Here is a 24,597-nt window from a genome sequence, read left to right as displayed (position 1 = left end):
TGCCAACCTCCGCTGCCTGGGTTCAAGTGATTCTCTTGCCTCAGCCTCCGGAGTAGCTGGGAATACAGGCGTGCACCACCACGTCTGGCTAATTTTTTTGTATTTTTAGTAGAGATGGGGTTTCGCCATGTTGGCCAGGCTGTTCTCGAGCTCCTGACCTCAAGTGATCCGCCCACCTTGGCCCCCCCAAAGTGCTGGGATTACAGGCGTGAGCTGCCACACCTGGCCCCCATCTCTAATTTAAAAAAAGGCCGGGCACAATGGCTCACGCCTGTAATCCCAGCACTTTGGGAGGCCGAGGTGGGTGGATCACTTGAGGTCAGGAGTTCAAGACCAGCCTGGTCAACATGGTGAAACCCTGCCTCTACCAAAAATACAAAAATTAGCCAGGCGTAGTGTCACACACCTGTAATCCCAGCTACTCGGGAAGCTAAGGCAGGAGAATTGCTTGAAGCCGGGAGGTGGAGGTTGCAGTGAGCCGAGATCACACCACTGCACTCCAGCCTGGGTGACAGAGGAAGACTCCATCTCAAAAAATAAATAGATAAATAAATAAAAATTACAGATGGGGTCCTGCTATGTTGCCCAGGCTGGTCTCAAACTCCTAGGCTCAAGCAATCCATCTGCCTCAGTCTCCTAAAGTGCTGGGGTTACAGGTATGAGCCCCATGCCTGGCCCTTAACTGAATTTTTAAAATTTATTTACATACATAGAAAAAAGACTGTCAAAAAAAAATTATAAAATGTTAGCAAGGCCAGGCACAGTGGCTCATGCCTGTAACCTCAGCACTTAGGGAGGCCGAGGCAGGTGGACCACCTGAGGTCAGGAGTTCGAAACCAGCCTGGCCAACATGGGGAAACCCTGTCTCTACTAAAAATACAAAAAATTAGCCGGACGTGGTGGCGGGCACCTGTAATCCCAGCTACTTGGGAGATTGAGGCAGGAGAATCGCTAGAATCCAGGAGGCAGACGTTGCGGTGAGCTGAGATTGCACCATTGCACTCCAGCCTGGGCAACAAGAGCAAAACTCCGCCTCAAAAAAAAAAAAAAAAAAAGTTAGCAAAAGTTATCTCTGAATGGTAGCATTATGGGTAAGTTATATTTTCTTTTTTTGTGCTTTGCTGTATTTTTCCTATAATAAACATTATTATTTATCAGAAAAAAATCAATAAATATTAAATTTCAAAATAGCTACTTATGTCACAATGACAAGACAGAGCCAACTAGAAACAGAGAATGAAACAGTAAAACCAAATAATCTTCATTTTAAAAATCATTTTCTTACATTCGACTGTAGGCTTTCGATACCAGTAGATCAAATTTACCTAACTGGAATGTATTAATCTGTTACACTGGCTGCAGGCTAACTTTCCAAAACAAAGAGGTCAGCGCCCCACCAAAATATGATCAGGACTTACCCTACAGGGGTGAAGGATGTCTTCTGGAGGACAGTGGCTCTGGAAGCAACAGATTTAGCATGTTCTAGTTTAACAGTGGCCTGAGTCAGAGGCTGAGACAGAACATTGGTGACTTGCAACTGGAAATAAATAAAAAATTATTTGTTACAACAAAGGCTACAGGAGCAGAGAATTTTGTTTCTGGGGTGCTTTATCTATAGGTTGCAAGCTCTGCAGGAGAGCAAATCCCCTGCTTCGGGAAATCTTGGCTGACCTTGGGCCTGCTGCCTAATCCTAAAGTGAATTATTACAGGCATGAGTCACCACACCTGGCCAATATATTGCCTTCTTTCTGATTCCCTATTCTATCCACTCTACTACAGAATCTTTAAAAGAATTTATCAGACTGGGCATGATGGCTCATGCCTATAATTGCAGTGCTTTGGGAGGCTGAGTCAGGAGGATCACTTGATGCCAAAGAGTTCAAGAACAGCGTGGGCAACATGGCAAGACCTCGTTTCTACCAAAAAAAAAAAAAGTTTTTTAAATTAAAAAATTAGCTGGGCATGGTGGCATGTGCTTGTAGTCCCAGATACTCAGGAAGTTGAGGCAGGAGGACTGCTTGAGCCCAAGAGTTAGCATGAGCTATGATTGCGCCACTATACTCCAGCCTGGAAAACAGAGGGAAACCCTGTCTCTGAAAAAGAAAAAAAAAAATGTCTCAGCTAGACTGGGTGCAGTGGCTCATGCCTGTAATTGCAGTACTTTGGGAGGCCGAGATGGGAGGATCACTTAAGGCCAGGAGTTTGGGACCAGCCTGGGCAATACAGTGAGACCCCGTCTCTACTAAAAAATTAATAAATAAATCAGCCAGAAAAATACTTTAGAATGGTATCAGCAATGGGAAAATTAAAGAAATATGGATAATATTAATAACTATCATTTGTTGAAAGTCAACTATATGCATATACCAGGCTAGGCCCTTTACATACATTCTCCTATCAATTGTACGACACAGATAGAATAATCCTTATTGCACAGGTGAAGAAACAAGCCACAAGAGGTTAAGGGACTGCTAAAGGTCACATGGCCAGTTAAGCAGTTGAGCCAGGACTCAAACCATCTATTTAACTTCAGAGTCAATTCTTTTTCCACTTTGTTCTCTTAGCCCCTCTTGACTCACAGGAAACCATGTTACTCAGGTTACTTTCTACCCAAGTCTTTGTTGAGGGTATATGAGTTGTATGTAGGGAGAAAATGGGCAATTTTGAAGAACAGGGTACTCGCTCAGGAGGATATCTGCAGGGGCCACCAAAGTAGAACTAATGGGACAGACAGAACTGTCCTAAGTGGAAACCCAACACTTAGACATTAATAAAATGCTAATTTCTCATGAAGATCTTAGCTTATCACTGGTTCCAAACAACAGCAACAAAACGCCTCATTTGAGATAAAAGTTCTAAGCATATTCAAGATCTGTGCATGTGCTCTGTTCAACGAGTTAACACAAAGGAGAAGTCTATGCTTACTGCTGAGTGAAAGGGAGGACTGTGCTATAAAGAGGCAAAAAGATATCCCATCAAGGACCAGGGAAAAAGAGAACTGATCAACCATAAACACCAGAATTAATTGAGAATTAAAACAGCTGTCGTAAAATAACATATTTAGAAAATTTGGGTACTGGAGGAAGCCTACGCTGCAGTGGGCCATGATCGCACCACGGCACTCCAGCCTGCGCGACATAGCGAGACCGCGTCTCAAAAAAAACCAAAACAAAACCAAAAAAATATGAAAAAGAAAGTTTGGTATTGGGAAGTGCATTTTAGATGCAAGACTTCTCTATACATCTGGAGTTATAGACCTAGAAATGCAATATTCCTGCACTTACTGAAAGCCTGTATTTTTTTTTTTTTTTTTTTAGACAGGGTCTCACTCTGTCACCAGGTTGGAGTGCAGTGGTGCAGTCTCGGCTCACTGCAACCTCTGCCTCCCAGGTTCAAGCGATTCTCCTGCCTCAGCCTCCTGAGTAGCTGGGACTACAGGTGCGCACCACCAGGCCCTGCTAATTTTTGTATTCTTAGTAGAGATGGGGTTTCACCATGTTGGCCAGGATGGTCTCAATCTCTTCACCTCATGATCCGCCTGCTTCAGTCTCCCAAAGTGCTGGGATTACAGGCGTGAGCCACAGTACCCAGCCAAGCCTGTACTATTTAAAATCCTCTAGGGAGAGGCCAGGCACAGTGGCTCATACCTGTAATCTCAGCACTTTGGGAGGCTAGGAGTTCAACACCAGCCTGGCCAACATGGCAAAACCCCATCTCTACTAAAAATGCAAAAATTAGCTAGGCATGGTGGTGTGCGCCTGTGATCCCAGCTACTTGGGAGACTGAGGCACAAGAATCACTTGAACCCAGGAGGTGGATGCAGCAGTGAACCAAAATCATGCCACTGCTTTCCAGCCTGGGTGACAGAGCAAGACTCTGTCTCAAAAAAAGAAACAAAAATTAAAAATCCACGAGGGGAAAAAAATTTTTTTAATAGATTTGAAGGGTTCTGTGGCTAGTTCACCGAGTGGTCATGTCTCCATTTCAAGGCTCAGGGAAATGAGCCTTGCCCTCCATTTAATGGGTATGTCCTTGTAGGGGCTGTAATTGGCTGTGACCATAGTCCAGATTTCTGAAAGCCTTCCACTAGGAATGATAATCAGAGGGGCACACTTTGGGCATGGATGTCTTACCCGCAAGATAGCCTGTTCATGAGTGTCGGAAGCAGAGCCCTCAGGCACAACCACAACTGGCACGTGGTAGCGATTATGCGAGAGCACAGCAGCTGCAGAGGCCACGCTGAAGGCTTCGGAGAGGGACTCAAAGTTCTTCTTGCTGAAGATCGCGTTCATCAGCTGGATGACCTGATCCTGAAAGAAATGCGAAATGCAGCTGTTTCTCTTCCTCTGCTGGGAAGGTGGGAGGGCCACTGCTGTAGAGGAAAGTCACCCTTATCTGTTTCGGGTGTTCACATGGGAGGTCTTTTGGTCAATGATCCAAATTCGTAGATGGAGAAAACGCAAATATTCTGCATTTAAACTTAGAACTTGGATGTGGTTGTTTTTTTTTCCATCTTCCTTTATAAACTGAAATTCATGATTTGTCAGTTATTTAATAAGTGCTTATTATACAGGCCAGGTGCAGTGGCTCACGCCTGTAATCCCAGCACTTTTGGAGACCAAGGCAGGTAGATCCCTTGAGGTCAGGAGTTCGAGACCAGCCTGACTAACATAGAGAAAAACCCCAACTCTACTAAAAATACAAAAATTAGTCAGGCATGGTGGCATGCGCCTGTAATCCCATCTACTCAAGAGGCTGAGGCACGAGAATTGCTTGAACCCAGGAGGTGGAGGTTGCAGTGAGCCAAGATCGCGCCACTGCACTCCAACCTGGGCGACAGAGAAAGACTCTGTCTGAAAAAAAAATCATAATAATGCTTACTACACAAATGCAGGGTACTTCCAGATAACTACTGAGATATGAAACTATATTATGAAATATATATAATAGTAATTATTTGTTAATGTCTATATATGCCAGGCATCATGATAGGTGCTTTACATGCATTAACTCAAATTTTGACAAAAACTATAAAAGATTGCTATTATCAATGTTTCCCAAAAAATGAAACTGAGGCTAAAGGAGGCTAAATAACTTCTGCAAGTTACCACAACATTAGCAAGACCAACATTCAAATGTAGGACTGTTTGTCTCCAAAGTCCTTCTACAAGAAAATCTGTTCTTTCCTGATTCTCATTATCCTCCCAGCTAAGCTACCTTTCCTCCCAACCTACTTGTAAGTAGTACATTGAGGCAAAGTTTTTATTTATAAGACCAAACTTTATAGCTAAAATGTACATTAAAAAGAAACTAAAATAACTCTCCATTAAGAACTAATGGGCTGCTTAGAGGAGAAAACTAAAAGCAATTTTTTAAAAAAGTGGAACCTAAAAGGCATTATTAAAATTCTGGAGGTTATTTGCTTAGGAGGAAACATTTTCCCCTTCAATCAGTTTTGTTTTTTAAAATCTACCATCCAACAAAAGGGCTCTCTTGTTCCTGACAGTGTTATTCACAGTCAACATGAAAGAATTTTCTTTAATTGGACCAATTACAATTTTCCATCACTACTCTGTTGACACGTTAAAATGGGTGACTGTTCACCAGAATTGTTTTGTCAAAAGCAGTGACAGCGAAATTACTCCAGCCAAGTACCTGGTTAGCAGCAGCTTGGAAATAAAGGAAGAAAATGTTTAAGTTGTATAAGTACAATATCATTAATTCATCTACTTTACTGTGTATAGGACAATCAGCAAACAATCTGTACCCTAAGACCCCACACTCTTGCAATTTCACCCATAACAGAAATTAAAAGGGAGTATATTTCTAGACCTCCTACACTTAGGACAAAGGAAGAGACACAAAAAGAATGCAAACACATGAATAACTTATTTGACCACATGGAGAAAATATGAAATTAATTCCAATTATCCAAGACAGATAACTATTTACTTAAAGAAACTTGGCACAAAACTCATAATGCATAAAGAAATGAAAATTCTCACTTAAAACCCAAATCTCTCCTCCTAAAATTTAAATAAAAGCAGCTTGTATTTTAAGTACTTTAGATTAAGGGCTGGTAACTTCTCACAAACAAGGGGTACAAAGACGGTCCTACTCAAAAAGGCTTCCCACATGCATTCCAACTAAAGATTCTTTCAGGTTAACAACCTCCTCTTGAGAAAAAGAATGAACTCTTGGCGGATGTGTGATAGACACACATGCCTCTCAGTGAACTATGTCCATCAGCAAAGATTAGCTAAGATTTAGCCGTTGCTGAGCATAAGGGGGAAGGGAGGAGAAGCAATTGTGAGCCCAGAGAAGGATCTGAATGAGCCACCAGAGTGGAAAGCATTCAGGCGACAAGCAGAAAAGGGTACTGGGAAGAAAGGGAGATGAAACAGGAGTAATACACGTGGCTTCCTTGATACTACCTCGTGACATGTACATACCCCATTTAAAGCAAGCATGGTTTGTTTACACGTCTACCTCACTAGCAACCCATTTCCTGAAGACAGGCATTACATCTTTCTATTTCTCATTCTTAATCCCTAACCCAGGACACTGAGTGACAGCATCCCAAGGTACTGTCTGAACATTCCTCTCTGATAAAAGCCATCCTTAGCAGATACAGCTGATGACCCCTTTGGGTTTCATGCCTGAAAATTGTTAGATAGGTACCTCCTTAATGGATGGCTCAGTCCCCACATGATCCATGAGCTTGTAGGTGGCAGCCACAAATAACGCTGTTGTTTCCAGTCCTTCTTCAAACTGGAGATACACGCCCCCGAGTTCATCCAGGCGAGCAACAAGGTCCTGCCATAACAAAACAGAAATATGCTGGATGTCAAGTAACAGCAGAAATGAGATGCACGAACCACTGTCAACCCCACTGCAGACAGCTTCGTGACATCTCTCACTCTAAATCTGAAGACCATCTCAGTCACTTCATACTTTCTCAAAAATGGTGCTTAGGCAGAGTAAAGTATATCAAACAGACATTTGAGGAGAGCACTATCTTCTGCAGTTTTGGGAGGGCTCCTTCCTTGGCCCCTTGTATGCAGGCCCAAGCCCAGGAGTCATGGCACAGAACACGCCAGCTGCTTTGGGTGGAAAGCCAGTGGGCCAGGCTGCTGTGCACCCAGGAAGCATCATGACACAGATGGAGTCCATGGCCATCCATTTGAATACAACCTACAAAGCACAGCGTTTCCCAGAATTTCTTAATGCTCCAAAAGACAAAGAGAGACATACTGCTCTCCTAGGCAACATGACTAGGCAACCAACGTGCCTGTGAAGCATCCAGTGAGAACACCATCAGGACTGCTTGTCACTCCTGCCAGGCAGTCCATGACAGAGGTCCCAGAGGAGCATGATATTCTGGGCAAAGGCAAGGATAGAGCAATAATAAAAACCACAGTCACCACGTCCTGAGGACCTATTATGTAATAGGCACAAATATTCCTCAGGACACAATACCTTAATACAAAGAACACAAGTGTGCCATGGATATAAGAAGCAATGTAACCTGTAGTAACAGATCATGCATGGCTATCTGCAAGATTCTTCTGCAGAGTGTCAAAGACAGGAGCTGGGAGATGCATTTGGCAAAAGATTCACACCTCAATCTCCTCCACGATGCTCCTCAGGTCAGCCTGCTGGGACAGGTGGGATGCTGTCTGCAGAGCCTGGACTGTTCTGGAAGGTAAAGAGTAGAACCCCAATGAATGGCAAGTCTTGTTTCATCCACTCACCCCTTCCCGTACTTGGACACTTTCACAAATATCCTACTCTTGTTCTTTAGAAGTACAAGTTGGTCTCAGCCTTTAAGGAGTTTACTTATAATCCAGTTAGGACAGATGTGACAAAACCTGGAAAAGATCATCACAGCTGAGAAGGCAACCCAGGCAACAGAACTGGCAAGAAGAACCGTGGGCATTGGGCTGGGCGCAGTGGCTCACGCCCGTAATCCCAGCATTTTGGGAGTCTGAAGCAGGCAAATTCCTTGAGCCCAGGAGTTCAAGACCAGCCTGGGTAAGATGGTGAAACCCCACCTCTACTAAAAATACTAAAAATGAGCCAGGTATGGTAGCGTGTGCTTGTAGTCCCAACTACTTGGGAGGCTGAGGCCCAGGAGGCAGAGGTTGCAGTGAGCCACTGCACTCCAGCCTGAGCAATAGAGTGAGACCCTGTCTCAGAAAAAAAAAAAAAAAAAAAAAAAGATTGAAGCAAAATTCACATAAAATTAACCATTTTAAAAAGCAAACAATTCAGGGGTGCTTACTACATTCACAATGTTGTGCAACTACCACCTGTCTAGTTCCCAAATATTTCCATCAGTCTAAAATAAAACCCATTGGTTGAGCACGGTGGCTCACACCTGTAATCCCAATACTTTGGGAGGCCGAGGCAGGAGGATCACTTAAGCCTGGGGGTTCGAAACCAGCCTGGGCAATACAGTGAGACCTCATCTTTACAAAAAATTTAAATATTAGCTGGGCATGGTGGCACATGCCTATAGTCCCAGGTACTCAGGAGGCTGAGGTAGGAGGATCACTTGAGCTAGGGAGGTTGAGGCTTCAGTGAGCTGTGATTGCACCACCGCACTCAGCCTAAGTGACAGAGTGAGACCCTGTCTCCAAAAAAAATAGATAAAACCCACCGAGCAGTTTCTCCCCATTGTGTCTCCCCTTAGCCCTCAGCAACCAGCAATCTATGTTCTATCTCTACGGATTTGCCTATTCTGCTATTTCATAGAAATGGAATCATACAATCTGTGTCCTTTTATGTCTGGCTTCTTTCACTCAACAGAATGTTTTCAAGGCTCATCCATGTTGTAGCACGTATCTGCACTTCATTCTTTTTTATGGCTTATTCATATATTTTTATCTATAATTCTGGAAGATAAGCTTTTTAAGATGGAACATGATAGATGTATACATGTAAGACTTATTAGATTCTATTATCTTAATACAGATAATTTGGAAAATATAAATGGTGCTTTTCTGGGTGAAACTGGGAGAGGAGAGGCCCCCTGGTGGTTAAACAGATTGCTGCTTCCACCCCGAATGGTTTCCTAATTCCTAAGAGATGACTGGGCCCTTGTGTAAAACCACCACTTATCAAGTCAATATGTCAGGGAATGTAGAGCAAGAATCTGTCTGCTTATGTCAAGAACATAACAATTTAGATTCTCTCCATGGGAAACTCATTCCATTAAGATGACAAGTTGGAAAACAGCAGAGTCGCAATTTACAGAGAGACAAGCCCCAGAGTATTCAACGACACCTATGGGATGCTTGCTGTTATCATACACTTGAGAAAATGAAACCTGAATTTCCAAACAAGACAAAAATCACACATCTGCCCGTGATAAACGCTGTGCTCAGAAAAGGCAGTTAAGATAGCCTAGAAAGAACTTCTCAATTAAGATATCATTTTTTTCTCTTTGGAATGAGAGAGTGCCGTGCTGGTAACAACCTCAGAAGTTTTAGAATGAAATTAATCCACTGAGTTTTAGAAAGTTTTGTCACTGGCTTTAATTACTTATTCCCCAGCCAGCAATTTCTTTTTCTCTGGAGCATAGTACTGTATTCGAACACTAAGAAAGCAGATCTTATCTTGCTAATATATAGCAGATGATTCAGAGAAATTGATTTATGACAGACTACAATGAGATCTTCTCAGGTGGTTCATTCAAATCTACAAGTATTTTCTTTTTTTCCATTCAAGACAAGTTTACAAATATACACTTCCTAGAAAAAGCCCATTTAAATATAGAAGGCCCATTCAGAAGAGTTCTAATTTATATCAGCTTGCCTTTAATAGCGCAAATTAGTAGTAATATAAGGCAACCTACCAGTTGGATTTCACAATGACCCTACGAGACATTCTCCAGGTTTGCATATGAGAACACTGAGGTTTAGGCGGGCTAAACAACCCACTCATGGTCACAGAGGTTGAGTAGAAGAATGGATTTGAACACAGTTCTTTCTGCTCCAAAGCGTATGTTCTTCCTACCTATGAGCTTTCTACAAGACAACAGAAACACAAAAGTATAGTTTCATCCTTTATTAACTCCGTTGGGTACAGACCATGTGCCAGGCTCTCTAAGCACTGCAAGTAAAGCTTATGGCTGGGTGTGGTGGCATGTGATTATAGTCCCAGCTACTCAGAAGGCTAAGGTGGGAGAATCGCTCACGCCCAAGAGTTTGAGGTTGTAGTGAGCTTTAAATATGATCGCATTGCACTGCAGCCTAGATGACACAGTGAGACCCTGTCTCAAAAAAAAAAAAAAAAAAGCTTATGACCTAACATACAAATAACAACAACGAAGGAAGTAACAAACTCTCTAAGAAGGGGGACCTGTTTGTTAGGGACCTAACAAACAAATGGTCCAGAAAAGGAACTCCGTTTCCTACACGCCCACCAAGAACCAGGCACTGCGCTAGGGTCTTCACACCTATTATCTCATTTAATCCTGTCAGTTGCTTTGATGTAAGAATTATGGGTTTCATTTTAAAGGCAAGGCTCAGAGAAGTTAGAAATTTGGCCAAAGTCAGACACAAGGAATGAAATAGCTGGTGTTCAAACCTAAGTCTGTCTGACTCCAAAGTGGACGTACTTCCCTTGTACTTCTTCCTGGGGTTCTGGGGTTTTGAGGAAGGGGATTTTCCCTTCTGCTTGGAAGGAAATGGGAATTTTTTTTGTAGAAGGTAGCATCAAAGTAAGGCACAGGCACTAACAGTGGCATCATGGCATGAGATGATGGTGACTGGAGAAGCATTCCCCATGAGGGATTAAAAGCAGATATCAAAATATGTCACCTGAAATCAAAGGCCCAAAAGGGCCAAGCACTGGACAAAGTGTGTACAAAATGTCAGCCCTAGAGTCACTGATGATTGACCATGTGAATATAGGGAGGGTGTGAGGAGGGACAGAGAGGGAATGTCAATTGCCTGTGAACCCTGTCCTTAACAAAGCTTTAAGTTTACAGAAAATCTGGTTGTCAGCAAAAAAACAAAAAACAAACAAAAAAACCTGGGAAACAATCTCACTGTTTTGAAAGGGGGATTTGGTATCACCAACCTCTTGCTAAACAACGAACGGGATTCCAGAACGGTGCTCCACACCCTCCTTCAGGGTTTGCAGTGAAACGGTGAACACAAATAAAATGACAAAAAAAATATTGTTTTAAAGGAGCAGTTTAAGTGTTAAAAAAAAAAAAATTACAACCGGCCTGGACAACACAGACAGGCCCCATCTCCACTAAAAACTAAAAAAATTAGCTGGGCAGCCGGGCGCTGTGGCTCACGCCTGTAATCCCAGCACTTTGGGAGGCCAAGGCAGGTAGATTGCTTGAGGTCAGGAGTTCAAGACCTGGCCAACATGGTGAAACCCTGTCTCTACTAAAAATACAAAAATTGGCCAGGCGTGGTGGCGCGCCTGTAATCCCAGCCACTGAAGACGCTGAGGCAGGAGAACTGCTTGAACCCGGGAGGCGGAGGTTGCAGTGAACTGAGATCGCGTCACTGCACTCTAGCCTGGGTAACAGAGTAAGACCACGTCTCAAAAAAAAAAAAAAATTAGCTAGGCGTGGTAGTTTGCACCTGTAGTCCAGCTACTCGGGAGGCTGAGGTAGGAAAATCACTTGAGCCCAGAGTTCAAGGCTGCAGTGAGTTTGATCATACCATTGCACTTCAGCCTGGGTGACAGAGTGAGATCCTGTCTCTAAATAAATAAAAATTTAAAACTACATATATTATCACTTAAGAGCTTAGCAAAAAACACCCTGAAGTTACAATATTTCCATTTATAACAAATAGGAAAGGTGCTTCTCCTTCACCTAAGCCTTTTGCAGAGTAGTAGAGTCTGATTCCTAGAATACTCCACCCTCTGAGCAACCACCTCACCCACCAGATGCTGTCTTTCACAACTTCCAGGGATCCTGAGAGCCCCCACTTTGCAGAGCCTCCACTGCCAACATGTCATCCTGCCCTAGCCAAGCCTCAACAAGACATGCACGTGGCTCCTTCTCAGTTATCTGCCCTTGCTCTAGCCCTCCAACCGCACAAGGCAACTGGATCTCTAGGTGGTGGTGTGCTCATGCTCTGGCTCAGCGCTTGCCTTCTGTCTGCGAGGCTTGCAGAAGACTGTGTCCATGTGAGCTCCACGAGGACACGGACCTTACTTGCCTTCATGCAATCATGTCTGCGGTGCCTTGCAGAGCACCTGGCACACGGAAGTATTTACTGCAAGTACTTGCCCAGAAAGTATTTGCTGAACCAATGAATGAGCCCTCTTCGGATAGGACCCGAGACAAATGAAGCCTGAGAAATGCTCGAGATGACAACTCACGCCAGCACAGTCTCCTCCTTGCTGAGACGAGCAGTAAGGGCACTGAGTGCTTCTTGGGATGCCAAGGGAAGGCCAAAGCCACTTAGAGCTGCAACTGCATGGTAGATCTGGGTAACAGATGAGTCCTCACTGACAGCTGCCAGAAGCAGATCTTTGGTCTCATTTGAAATAGAGATCTAAGAAAGAATTGGCAGACACAGAGTTTTAGAACAGGTCTTGGCAATTTGTGGCAGGCATGGCAAAGACAGAATGCGGAGCAGCTGCCAAAGTCACCTCCGCCTCGCACATGCTCATCCCCCTCTAATCCCCAGACACCAGGATGAAATGTTTGCAAAACTTCGGTACAACACTCCCATGTGAAAAGATGCTGACAAGTTACCTTTCTACTTATATGGTTCTCCTATGTTCAACAAAATGACTTCCAGAAACCTCGTGTGGGGGTACACTTTGAACATTTTTACGTGTTAAAGGCAGATGGAAAGGAAAAAATCAAGACCTACCAGAAGAAAAGCAAAAACTGTACAAAAAGGTTATTTAAAACCCTTGAAAAGTAAAAACTTAGGAGAAACATAAACTATACTTTCTTAAGGAAAAAAAAAATCACAGGAATGGAATTCCCACTCACAATAATGGACTCTCATAATTAAAAAAAGGATGTTTGACATGACTCCTCCCCTTTAAAAATGTACTTTAAATAGTTAAAGTCATTGTCAGCGTAGGAACCCGGACTCACCTCACATCCTGAGAGGGCCTGGCTGGCCTGGGCAGCGTAGAAGAGGGAATCCACATTGCTGGGATCAAGGTTAGATCTGATGTAGGTACATGCTTTCTACACAGTGGGGAAAAGTCAATGTTAAGTGGTGACACATGTAGTGAACCAGGAAAAGCAAAGGCGTTTTTAGATAACATTCTCAGCCATTATAGATGGCTTAAGGAATGAGCTACATGAATTTAGTTAAGTAGTTACTTTCCATAGGACACGGTATTACCCAAAATTGCTCACTTCGTACAAAGAGCAATAAGCCTGAAGGCGCTTGAGTCCTTCCGAACCTTAGAAAGGAAAGAAGGAAACCACTTCCCGGATCACCTGTCTGGCCATGGACTGTGCTGGGTATTTAGGAAGCTCTTCCTTTTAACAACATGATCCTTTGGTAGAGATTATCACTATCCCCATTTACCTGAAAAAGAAACTGGGGCTCCAAATTGGCAAGTAACCTGATGAAGGTGACAAAGCTACCAAGTGGCAGTCTCTTCTGATTCCAACTTTACTGGCATCTCCACTTAGATGTCACCAAGGCCAAGTCAGGCTCAACAAATCTAAAATGAGCTTAACGCTGGGTGCAGTGGCTCACATCTGTAATCCCAGGCCTTTGGGAGGCTGAGGCAGGACTGCTTGAGCTCAGGAGTTGAGACCAGCCTGGGTAACATGGTAAGACCCCATCTCCACAAAAAATTCAAAAAGTAGCAGAGCAGGTGGCGCATGCCTGTGGTCCCAGCTACCTGGGAGGCTGAGGTAGGAGGACTGCTTGAAGTTGAGGCTGCAGTGAGCCATGTTCATGCCACTACACTCCAGTCTGGGAGACAGAGCGAGACCCAGTCCCCCAAAAAAATAAAAATAAAAAAGAAAATGAGCTTAAAACCTTCTATTTCTTCACCAGGACTTCCCAGCTCATGCACAGGTAATACCATGCATCCAGCAACCCAAACCAGAAACATGGGAACCATCCTTGACTTTTCCCCACCCTCCAAGCCTATCAAGTCTACCTCTTTTTCATTTCTCAGGCCCAGTCCCGCCTCTGGTTTCTGTCACTGCCTTACAGCAGGCCCTTGCCATTTCTCACCTACATTGTCCCAGTCAGTCATCTCCTAAGCGGTCTAAAGCCATGCAATCCATTCTGCACACTGCTTCAAGACTGATCTTCACAAAATACAAGTGTAACCGTGTTGCTTTACCTTTAAAACCCTTCAGTGGTTCCCTGTTTTTCTCAGACAAGATCCAACTTCTGACACAGCATGAAATGCCCTCAAGACTGACCCTCCCTCTCCATGCTGCCTGCATCACCATAGCCCTAACTCCAACTCCAAAATCTTACCCTCTAGCCTCCTGCAGCTATACCACGCTCTCGCCATTTGACGTGTTTGACCCTGCTACCCACCCTGCCGGGAGCACCTTTTCCTTGTCCTTCCTGCCTGCCAAACCAGGTCCTATCTTCAACTCTGCTCAGATGTTCACCTCTTCCTGACAGTCCTCCCAGGAGAGGCCAGGTATCCACCCTCTCAAGTGCTCCCCCAAAGCACGTACCACACTGCACTTACTAGTTCCCCCAGTGACTAGTGGCCCAAGATCAGGGACTTTGCCAAATGCCCATCACAGTGACTGGCACAAAGGAAACACATCACAAAATCGCCAAGCCCCCGCTACTACGACTCTCCTCGACTCCAAGAAACAGTATCAAATCAATAGACTGCCAATATTTTGGCTGAAGTAATATAAAATTCAGCTATTCAAAAAGATGTGGTAATAATAACAGTTAAAAGTGGGTGCTGGCTGGGCACAGTGGCTCACGCCTGTAATCCTAACACTTTATGAAGGTGAGGTTGGAGAATCGTTTGAGGCTGCAGTGAGCTGTGATTACACCACTGCAGTCTGGCATGGGTGGCAGGGCAACATCCTGTCTCAAAAAAAAGAAAAAGGCTGGGCGCGGTGGCTCACACCTGTAATACCAGCACTTTGGGAGGTCAAGGCGAGCAGATCACAAGGTCAGGAGATCGAGACCATCCTGGCTAACACGGTGAAACCCCATCTCTACTAAAAACACAAAAACAAAATTAGCTGGGCGTGGTGGTGGGCACCTGTAGTCCCAGCTACTCGGGAGGCTTGAGGCGGGAGACTGATGTGAACCCGGGAGGCAGAGCTTGCAGTGAGCCAAGATCGTGCCACTGCACTCCAGCCTGGGCGACAGAGCGAGACTCCGTCTCAAAAAAAAAAAGGTGGGGGGGAGACTAGGCACGGTGGCGCTCACCTGTAGTTCCAGCTACTCAGGAGGCTGAAGCAGGAGAATCCCTTGAACCCGGGAGGCAGAGGTTGCAGTGAGCCGAGATCGTGCCACTGCACTCCAGCCTGGACGACAGAGTGAGACTCCTCTCCCACCAAAAAAAAAAAGCGCGGGGTGCTCCTGGAGAGTAGGACAGGGTGGAGGGCAAGGGCAGCACGCTGCCTTTCACTAACAGCTATTTTGTATTGTCCAATGTTTTACTGTGTGTACATGCTACTCCAACCAAAGCATTTTTTTAATTTTATGAATGAAATTTAAATAAGAGTCTCAAAACAAATGAGTTTCAACCAGAAGTTTTAAAGAAGCCAGAGAGAGAAAGGAAACAAACAAAATACTTCACTTTGCATCAATTAGGGATCTGAAGAGAATAAGTAAAGCTACTCAAGGAGTCCAAGCAGGGGAATGCAAGGCAGCTGAAAATGTGTGCTTTGTCGCCATCTGGTGCTTTAACAATGGAACGACAACACTGGAGACCCCAAAACAATGACTACCTCTACTTCTACCTCTATCATTACCTCTTTCTGAGCACTTAAAATGTGTCAAACGCTGTTCTAAGTGCTTTATGTGCATTTCTCATTTAATCCCCAATCTATCTCATGGATCAGGCACTCTTATCACCTTAAGTTTACAGGTAAGAAAACTGAGGCATTATAAAGGCAAAGTAACTTGTCCAAAGTCACTCAGCTTTTAACTAGGGGAACTAGAATTCCCTGGCTCCAGAAGAGCCTGGCTCTGGTGTCTGAGCTATAAAACCTCCACTTCTCAAGAGCCCACTAAAAACAATCTATTCTGGAGTAAGACAAGCATCATTCCTACACTTTGCAAAGACAAATCAAGGTAAACCAGTCCGGCGTTCAGTGGCTTCAAAGCCCAAGATGTTGACGGCGGAGTTTACACAGCAGCAGAAGCAGGGACACCTCCCAGAACATGCTCAGCCTGCTCAGTGAGCCCACCCAGTGCTGAGGCTTCAGCCAGCTACTGTCGGGGGACTGGAAACTCTGACTCCAGCTGCCCTCCAACGTTCTAGACTCATCTTCCCGACTGAAGGCTGAAAACTGCCCCCTAAATGTCCACCCCCGATCTGCTTGCTTCCAACTTTCTGTGCTAATACCCCAATTAATCAAACACCCTCTTGAGCAAAGAACACCAGTGCTTTCTTCCATCATAGGTTTTCCCCTACAACTCCCTGAACCTAATCAAATACGGAGGCCTATAGAAAAGACCGCAAATCTCTCTCATCTGCCCTCCCCTCCCCTATTTCCTCCATAAACAGCTCCCCGCTACTCTGGCTGCCTCTCAGACTGTGCTTTGTCATCTCTTCAGACTTTGTTACTGTGATGTGCTGCCCAGGCACACACTGGCTGGGGCCCCACGCCAGACCCTTTCTAACCAGGCCCGCTTTTCCCCAGGTGCTTCCTACTGCACTTCCCCACCCATCTCTGCTCCAGTTGCACAAGCACCTCACTGCCCCAAAGCACAACAAGCACTTGGAAGCCTCCAGGCTTTGTACACCCTGTCTCTCCATCTGGAAGCCCATTACCTCGTCAATTCAACTTCTCCTATAATGTATTAACAAAACTCAAGACTTATTTTAAAATACAACTTCCTGGCTGGGCGTGATGGCTCACGCCTGTGATCCCAGCACTTTGGGAGGCTGAGGCGGGTGGATCACCTGAGGTCAGGAGTTCGAGACCAGCCTGACCAACATGGTGAAACTCCATCTCTACTAAAAATACAAAAATTAGCCAGGCGTGGGGGTGTGCACCTGTAGTCCCAGCTACTTGGGAGGCTGAGGTAGAAGAATCGCTTGAACCTGGGAGGCGGAGGTTGCAGTGAGCCGAGATCGAGCCACAGCACTCCAGCCTGGGTGACAAGAGCGAAACTTTCAAACAACAACAACAACAACAACAACAATTTCCCTCAACCCTTCTCTCCCCTCCAGTGCCACCTTCTCTCTTCCCACACAGCCACACTGCTCCAGTCTTCATGTCCTCACCTCCACTCATTCCAATTTGGCTTCTGCCCCCAGCAGGCCAGTGGCAACCTCCAAATTGTCGAAGCAGAGGACATTTTCCAGTGCTCACTCCTCAACAATGGACAGACCGATCACGTCCTCACTGGGAAACATGCGCGCCCGTAGCCTTCTGGGATGCCACCGCACCCTGCTGGGTCTCCTACTTCTCTGGCAGCTCCTCCCTCAGTTTTGAGCTCTCCTGCTGTTTCTCAGCTCCTAGGCCTGGCTCTCATCCCACCACCCCCTGCCTCCCTAGGCCATCCCATCCATGCCCATGGCTTCATCCCAAAATTCTATGCAGATAATTCTCAGACCCGTACCTCCAGCCCAGACTTCTCTCAACAGCCACTTACATGACTCAAAGGTATTTCAAGCTCACCATGGTAAAGACCAAATTCGTGATCTTTCCCAGACAAACCTCATTGTCTTCCTGTGTTGCTATCTCATGGAATGGCCCAACTACCCATCCATGCAGCAGAAGCAGAAAGTCCAGGCATTATCTTTTGTACCCCTCCTGCATTCAATCTTGCCCTGTAGCCCCCTGCTATAGTCTGTCTTCCAAAAAGCAAGAGAGAAGTCTTTCCAAAATGCAAGGTGAATCACGATACTAGCTATTTAAAATATATTGCTCATTGGAAACAGATCAGAACTCTTCCTATGTGGGCCAAGGCACTATGGCTTGGCCCCAGCCTGCCTCACTCCTCTCCCTCCCTCCCACTCTGTTCCACACACCTCCTCCTTTCAATCTCAAATGTAACCTGCTCTCTATCCTCCGCACAGGCTGTTTCCTCTGCCTGAAGTCCCTTCTCTCCTTCGTCTCACAGTTAACTCCTCCTCTCCCTTTAGAATTCAGATCAATCACATCTTCCTTCACTTCAGTGCCTACCACATGCCAGGTGCTGTTCTAGGAACTGGGGATACACAACAAATAAAATAGACAAAGTCCCTGCCCTTAAGGAGTAGAGTGAGATTAGGGTGATGCAGAGAGGTTTGAGTTTTGGGTTTGGGGTTTGTTTTGTTTTTGTTTTGAGACAGGGTCTTGCCCTCTCACACAGGCTGGAGTGCAGTGGCATGATCGTAGCTCACTGCAGCCTCCAACTCCTGGGCTCCAGCGATCCTCCATCCTCAGCCTCCTGAGTAGTTGGGACTACAGGCACACACCACTACACCAGATAATTTTTTTTTACTTTTTGTAGAGACAGGGTCTCATTTTGTTGCCCAGGCTGGTTTCAGACTCCTGGCTTCAGGCAATCCTCCTGCCTCAGCCTTCCAAAGTGCTAGGATTATAGGTGTGAGCCAACACACTCAGCCCACAATGAGATTTAAATTCGGAGATTTCCTCAGGAAAGCCTTTCCTGGCAAATCAAAGTCCCCTATTCTACCCCTATAAAATCCCCTATTTATAACAGCACATATCTCCCCTTCATAAAACTTACCATTGTTGCAAATATTCGTGCATGTATTTGATTACATGATTAATGCCTGTCTCAGCTATTAGACAACATATTCTTAAGAGTGCAGGGGCCCTCTCCCTCTTTATGGCTCAAGAGTAAATCCCCAGTGCCTAGCACTATACCTAGTGCACAGCAGAAACTCACTATATATTTGCTGAGTGACCAAATGAAGCCTGCAGCAGCCAGCACAGATGGCAGCACTCCAGTGCAAGATTGTGGCTTTCTTGGCAGACAGGGTGAGTGCCGGCTCCCTCTGCTGGACTCCCATGGTACTTTCCACAAACAGCCTGTCTGCCTCTTGGCACTTAGCACTGTATTATGGTACTCTCAATGGATAATGAGCTCTCTTGTCTTCTCTGCACTTAGCACAATGTCTGGCACACAGCAGATGCTCCATAAATGATTACTGCGTGAAGGATTGCCTCATTCTCTGCTATCCCCAGGAATGAACTAGTGCCTGACCCACAAACAAATATACTTACTACTATATGCACTCATCATGTGCCAGGCACTACACTAAGCACTTTACACTTATTATCTCATTTAATGCTCACAACGCTTTATAAGGGAGGCATTTTTTTAAAGTAATTTGGTTTCTTTGAGACAGGGTCTTGCTTTGTTGCCCAGGCTGGACTGCAGTGGTGCCATCACAGCTAACTGCAGCCTTAAACTCCTGGGCTCAAGCAATATCCCTGCCTTTCTGCCTCAGCCACCTAAATAGCTAGGACTAGAGGTGCATGCCACCATGCCCATCTAATTTTACTTTTTGCAGAAATCGGGGGTGGGGGGCGGGTGTCTCACTATGTTGCCCAGGCTAGTCTCCAACTCCTGACCTCAAGTGATCCTCCCACCCCAGCCTCCCAAAGTGCTGGAATTACAGGCATAAGCCACTGTGCCCAGCATGTTCTTAATCTTGTAAAAAGCTAAATAATGATATCTGTAAAATCACCTTTCTGACATGCTTATGTTTTATATAAATATAACTCAAATGAAAAATGCTCACTCTTTCTTTCTTTTGAGACAGAGTCTCAAAAAAAAAAAAAGTAGCTGGGACTACAGGCACCCGCCACCACGCCCAGCTAATTTTTTTGTATTTTTAGTAGAGACGGGGTTTCACTGTATTAGCCAGGATGGTCTTGATTGCCTGACCTCGTGATCCGCCTGCCTCGGCATCCCCAAAGTACTGGGATTACACGTGTGAGCCACCGCGCCTGGCCTTTTTTTTGAGACAGGGTCTCGCTCTGTCACCCAGGCTAGAGTGTAGCAGCACAGTCTCAGCTCACTGCAAAACCTCTGCCTCTGGGTTCAAGCAATTCTCCTGCCTCGGCCTCCCGAGTAGCTGGGATTACAGGCATGCCCACCACGCCCAGCTAACTTCTGTATTTTTAGTAAAGACAGGGTTTTGCCGTGTTGGCCAGGCTGGTCTCGAACTCCTGACCTCAAGGGATCCACCAACCTCAGCCTCCCAAAGTGCTGAGATTACAGGCCTGAGACACCGCACCCAGCCGATGCTCACACTTTATAACACCTAAAATCAACTCTCATTCCACACTGCTGTCTCCATAGTTTCTATTCTCATTAAACCCCATTTCTCCCAGTTTTGCTGCTAAAACCTCTTACGAGATAATAACCAAAATCTCTCCAAATATATCGATCTGTGAGAATAGGCAACAGTGTATCTAGGGGAGCCCAGGGAGTTCTCTCTACTGAGCTGAAGGCAGCAACAGCTGAGCAGGACATGCACCGCTACACGGAAGTGACAGTAATGACATAAATCTCTCAATGGATTTATGTAGTTTGCACATCTAATGAGGAAATTCAACAGCTCTGAAACATGCATACAACTCCCTTTCTTCCATTACTTATAATGCACACACCACCTAATCAACACAGCACATTTCATAAGCAATTAGAATGGAGTATGTGATTAACCTATTTATTTTCTGATTAGCAGGCACATTTAGAGAGCTCCCATTTTGATTGAGCTAAAGTCTACAGTTCAAATATTTGTTAGACACCCGTGTGTCAGATGTATGCTAAGCAGTGAGGATGACAGTCTGAAAAAAAAATGTCAATCAATGTGTACCAACTGCTACTACTATTTATATATAGTCATACTACTCATAAGGGTAATACTACGTATTACCACATGCCATCAACGTGCTAACTACCCTGCACACATTATCTGTGAGCTGAGTATTATTATCTCCATCTTACCGATGACAGAACAACAATTTTGAAAGGTTAAATAAGCTGCACAGGTGACTCAGGTGTGAAGTTTTGAAGTTAACACCTTGAAGGCAACCACTCTGACTTCAGCGTCTGTATTGTAAACATAAAGCCACAGCCAGCCCAATCATGTAATTATCCCAAGTCACACTGCATGGCAGCTGGCCGGATGCCTCTCAATCTACATCTTCAGCCCTAACCAACATCCCGCAAACTTGTGATGATGGCAGAGAATAGCTTTGGGGGTATGTGTTCAACCTAAATCTCCTATAGAACTCCAAATCACGACACAGATCAAAAGACATGCTCTGGATGAAGTGGGAGCACCTCATTCCTCCGTGACCCCCTACACCGAATCCTGTGGTTCCACAAAAGTTTGAAAACCTTCAGGAGAAACTTTTCATCCTGCATTCAAATCCTGCCAGAGGTTAACATTACTATTTCAATGTTATCTCCTATACCTCACAATACAAAACCTCTAGTCAATTTGCTCTTTCTCTCTCCCCAGGGCCTCTAAAGACATCACCAAAAACCAGAGCAGAAGTACGAAGCATCACTACAAAAGGCACTGCGAATACAGTGTCTGTGCCAGGCATTGTCTGAACTCACCTAAACAAAGTATAAATAGAAGCAAACCTTTTCAATGTAAGAACGATAATAGCTACCATTTCCTTTGAGGGGCATACTGTAATTTCACTTTCTTCTTACAATGATTCAGTGAGGTAGGCTTCATAACTCCCTTTGCAGAGAGGTGGAGCCAGAATTAAAAGCTTGAGTTAACTGACTCTGATGGGTATACTCTTACTTTTGAGCAGAACTAATTTTATCAGGAGGTACATTCACCTTTAGGGTTTATAAGAGTGTAATCATGAGGAAACGTCTGTATCTTTAATAGAGTCACACACAGGAAGAAAACATTGGGCAGAAACGGAGAGCTGGTTGTCAGGAAAAAATTTGAGTAAGCTGGATCTCATATAGCTGCGATTAGCAAACTTTTTCTGTAAAGGACCAGTTGGTAAATACTTTAGGCTTTCTGGCCAGTCTAGTAACTATTTAACTCTACAGTTAAACTGAAAACCAGTTGTACCCAATGTGTAAATGAATGGATGTTCACACACACACACACACACACACACACACACACACACATACACACACACAGTTTGGCCCATTGGCAAAAATGGAACATTTTGAGCACCAAAAAGGATAACAATTGAAATGGATTGAAAGATATCAATTGCTGAGAGGGGTGGCTCACACCTATAATCCCAGCACTTTGGGAGGCCAAGGCGGGTGGATCACCTGAGGTCAAGAGTTCAGGACCAGCCTGGCCAACATGGCAAAATCCTGTCACTACCAAAAAACACAAAAATTAGCCAGGCGTGGTGGAGAATGCCTGTAGTCCCAGCTACTTGGGAGGCTGAGGCTGGAGGATCACTTGAACCTACGAGGCGGAGGTTGCAGTGAGCTAAGACTACAAAACTGCACTCCAGCCCGGATGACAGTAAGACTCCATGTCAAACAAACAACAAAAAAAGACATCAATTGGAGGCTGGGCACAGTGGTTCATGTCCATAATCCCAGCACTTTGGGAGGCAGAGGCAGGAGGATGGCTTGACCCGAGGAGTTTGAGACAACCCTGGGCAACATGGCAACACCGTCTCTACAAATATTAAAAAAAAAAAAAATTTAGCTAGGCATGGTGACAGGTGACTGTAGTCCCAGCTACTCGAGGGGCAGAGGTGAAGGATCACCTGAGTCCAGAAGTTTGAGGCTGCAGTGAACCATGATCGCACCACTGCACTCCAACCTGGGCAACAGAGCGAGGCCTTGTCTCAGAAAAAAAAAAAAAGACACCAATTGGGACTATCAATTCTGCCCTTGACAGAATTAAATATATTGAACTTCCCTTCCTACCAAAAATAACTATAAAACTGTATGAAATATATGAAATTGAGACACTGAACAACAGACAGCAAAGGCTGGGATCCTTGAAAGAAGGTTAAAAAGTACGACAATGGGCCGGGCGCGGTGGCTCACACCTGTAATCCCAGCACTTTGGGAGGCCAAGACGGGCAGATCACAAGGTCAGGAGATGGAGACTATCCTGGCCAACATAGTGAAACCTCGTCTCTACCAAAATACAAAAAATCAGCTGGGTGTGGTGGCGTGCACCTATAGGAGGCTGAGGCAGGGGAATCGCTTGAACCCAGCAGGCGGAGGTTGCAGTGGGCCAAGATCGCGCCACTGCACTCCAGCTTGGCAACAGAGTAAGCCTTCATCTCAAAAACAAAAACAAACAAACAAAAAGTATGACAATGATAGCAGAAATGATGAGAGTTTAAATGCAAATACAGTTATAGGGTTCTTTTACTATTTGTGACATGGCAAAATAATAATTCAAGATATACCGTGAGAAATTAAGGATGCATATTAAAATCTCTAAACAAAACTAGACAAACACTAAAAAAAAATTAGATCTGAACAGTCAATAGAAGATATAAAACAGAATATTTAAAAATAATCAAGGGGCTGGGCGCAGTGGCTCACGCGTGTAATCCCAGCATTTTGGGAGGCCGAGGAGGGCAAATCACTTGAGGTCAGGAGTTCAAGACCAGCCTGGCCAACATGGTGAAACCCCATCTCTACCAAAAAATACAAAAAATTAGCCAGGCATGGTGGTGCGCGTCTGTAATCCCAGCTACTTAGGAGGCTGAGATGGGAGGATCACTTGAACCCGGGAGGCAGAGGTCACAGTGAGCAGAGATCACACCACTGCACTCCAGCCTGGGTGACAAGAGTGAGACCCTGTCTCAAAAAAATAAAATAAAACAAAATAAAATATAAAAATAAGACAGGAAAAGAGAGGGAAAAACAGGTAAGCCAATAGGAAACAAATAACAAGATGACAGATGTAAACCCAACAATATAATTAAACATAAATGATTGATCTTTTTTTTTTTTTTTTTTTGAGACGGAGTCTCGCTCTGTCGCCCAGGCTGGAGTGCAGTGGCGGGATCTCGGCTCACTGCAAGCTCCGCCTCCCGGGTTCACGCCATTCTCCTGCCTCAGCCTCCCAAGTAGCTGGGACTACAGGCGCCCGCCACTACGCCCGGCTAATTTTTTGTATTTTTAGTAGAGACGGTGTTTCACCGTTTTAGCCGGGATGGTCTCGATCTCCTGACCTCGTGATCCGCCCGCCTCGGCCTCCCAAAGTGCTGGGATTACAGGCTTGAGCCACCGCGCCCCGCCAAATGATTGATCTTAAACATAAAAAAAGAATCAAAATAAAAAAATAAATGGAATAAACTCCCCAATCAAAAGGTAGAAATTATCAGACTGGATGAAAAAACAAATCCCTACTATATACTATTTATAAGCGATAGATTAGTCTGACAACACCTTAATTTACAACTTCATCATCACTAAAAGTGAAATAACCAGATATTATGTATCTATTAATAGGAAGTCCACAGCACCACCTGT

At 44.8% G+C, this 24,597-nt stretch overlaps 1 protein-coding gene across 11 annotated transcripts in view, besides 2 other annotated features; it reads right to left on the bottom strand.

The window, feature by feature from the left end:
- Positions 1-24,597, bottom strand: part of RPN2 (ribophorin II) — a 62,290-nt gene that overhangs the window by 30,036 nt on the left and 7,657 nt on the right. For 5 of the 11 annotated variants that reach the window (NM_001324304.2, NM_002951.5, NM_001324303.2 and 2 more), the window contains exons 3-8: positions 13,092-13,187; positions 12,359-12,534; positions 7,624-7,699; positions 6,683-6,817; positions 4,135-4,311; positions 1,419-1,537 (exon numbers count right to left, since the gene is read on the bottom strand). In NM_001324304.2, the coding sequence (NP_001311233.1) occupies positions 1,419-1,537; positions 4,135-4,311; positions 6,683-6,817; positions 7,624-7,699; positions 12,359-12,534; positions 13,092-13,187 (779 nt within the window). Of the gene's footprint in view, positions 1-1,418; positions 1,538-4,134; positions 4,312-6,682; positions 6,818-7,623; positions 7,700-11,089; positions 11,138-12,358; positions 12,535-13,091; positions 13,188-24,597 lie in introns of all 11 variants that reach the window. The other 6 variants (NM_001324301.2, NM_001324305.2, XM_006723851.4 and 3 more) reach the window with 3 other exon arrangements.
- Positions 17,213-18,047: an enhancer, noted in NCBI's record as "H3K27ac-H3K4me1 hESC enhancer chr20:35821940-35822774 (GRCh37/hg19 assembly coordinates)". NCBI's record gives its function as "activates a minimal SCP1, AML or CMV promoter by ChIP-STARR-seq in naive H9 embryonic stem cells {active_cell/tissue: H9 hESC(naive)}" and the evidence as "EXISTENCE:reporter gene assay evidence [ECO:0000049][PMID:30033119]".
- Positions 18,984-19,278: a silencer, noted in NCBI's record as "tiled region #9458; HepG2 Repressive DNase unmatched - State 25:Art, and K562 Repressive DNase unmatched - State 25:Art". NCBI's record gives its function as "represses a minimal TATA promoter and a strong SV40 promoter by Sharpr-MPRA in HepG2 and K562 cells {active_cell/tissue: HepG2 | K562}" and the evidence as "EXISTENCE:reporter gene assay evidence [ECO:0000049][PMID:27701403]".

Source organism: Homo sapiens, chromosome 20 (assembly GCF_000001405.40).
Source record: "Homo sapiens chromosome 20, GRCh38.p14 Primary Assembly".
Classification (NCBI taxonomy): Eukaryota; Metazoa; Chordata; class Mammalia; order Primates; family Hominidae; genus Homo; species Homo sapiens.
Note: the sequence above shows the minus strand (reverse complement) of the source record. Positions and strands in the feature narration are given on the sequence as shown.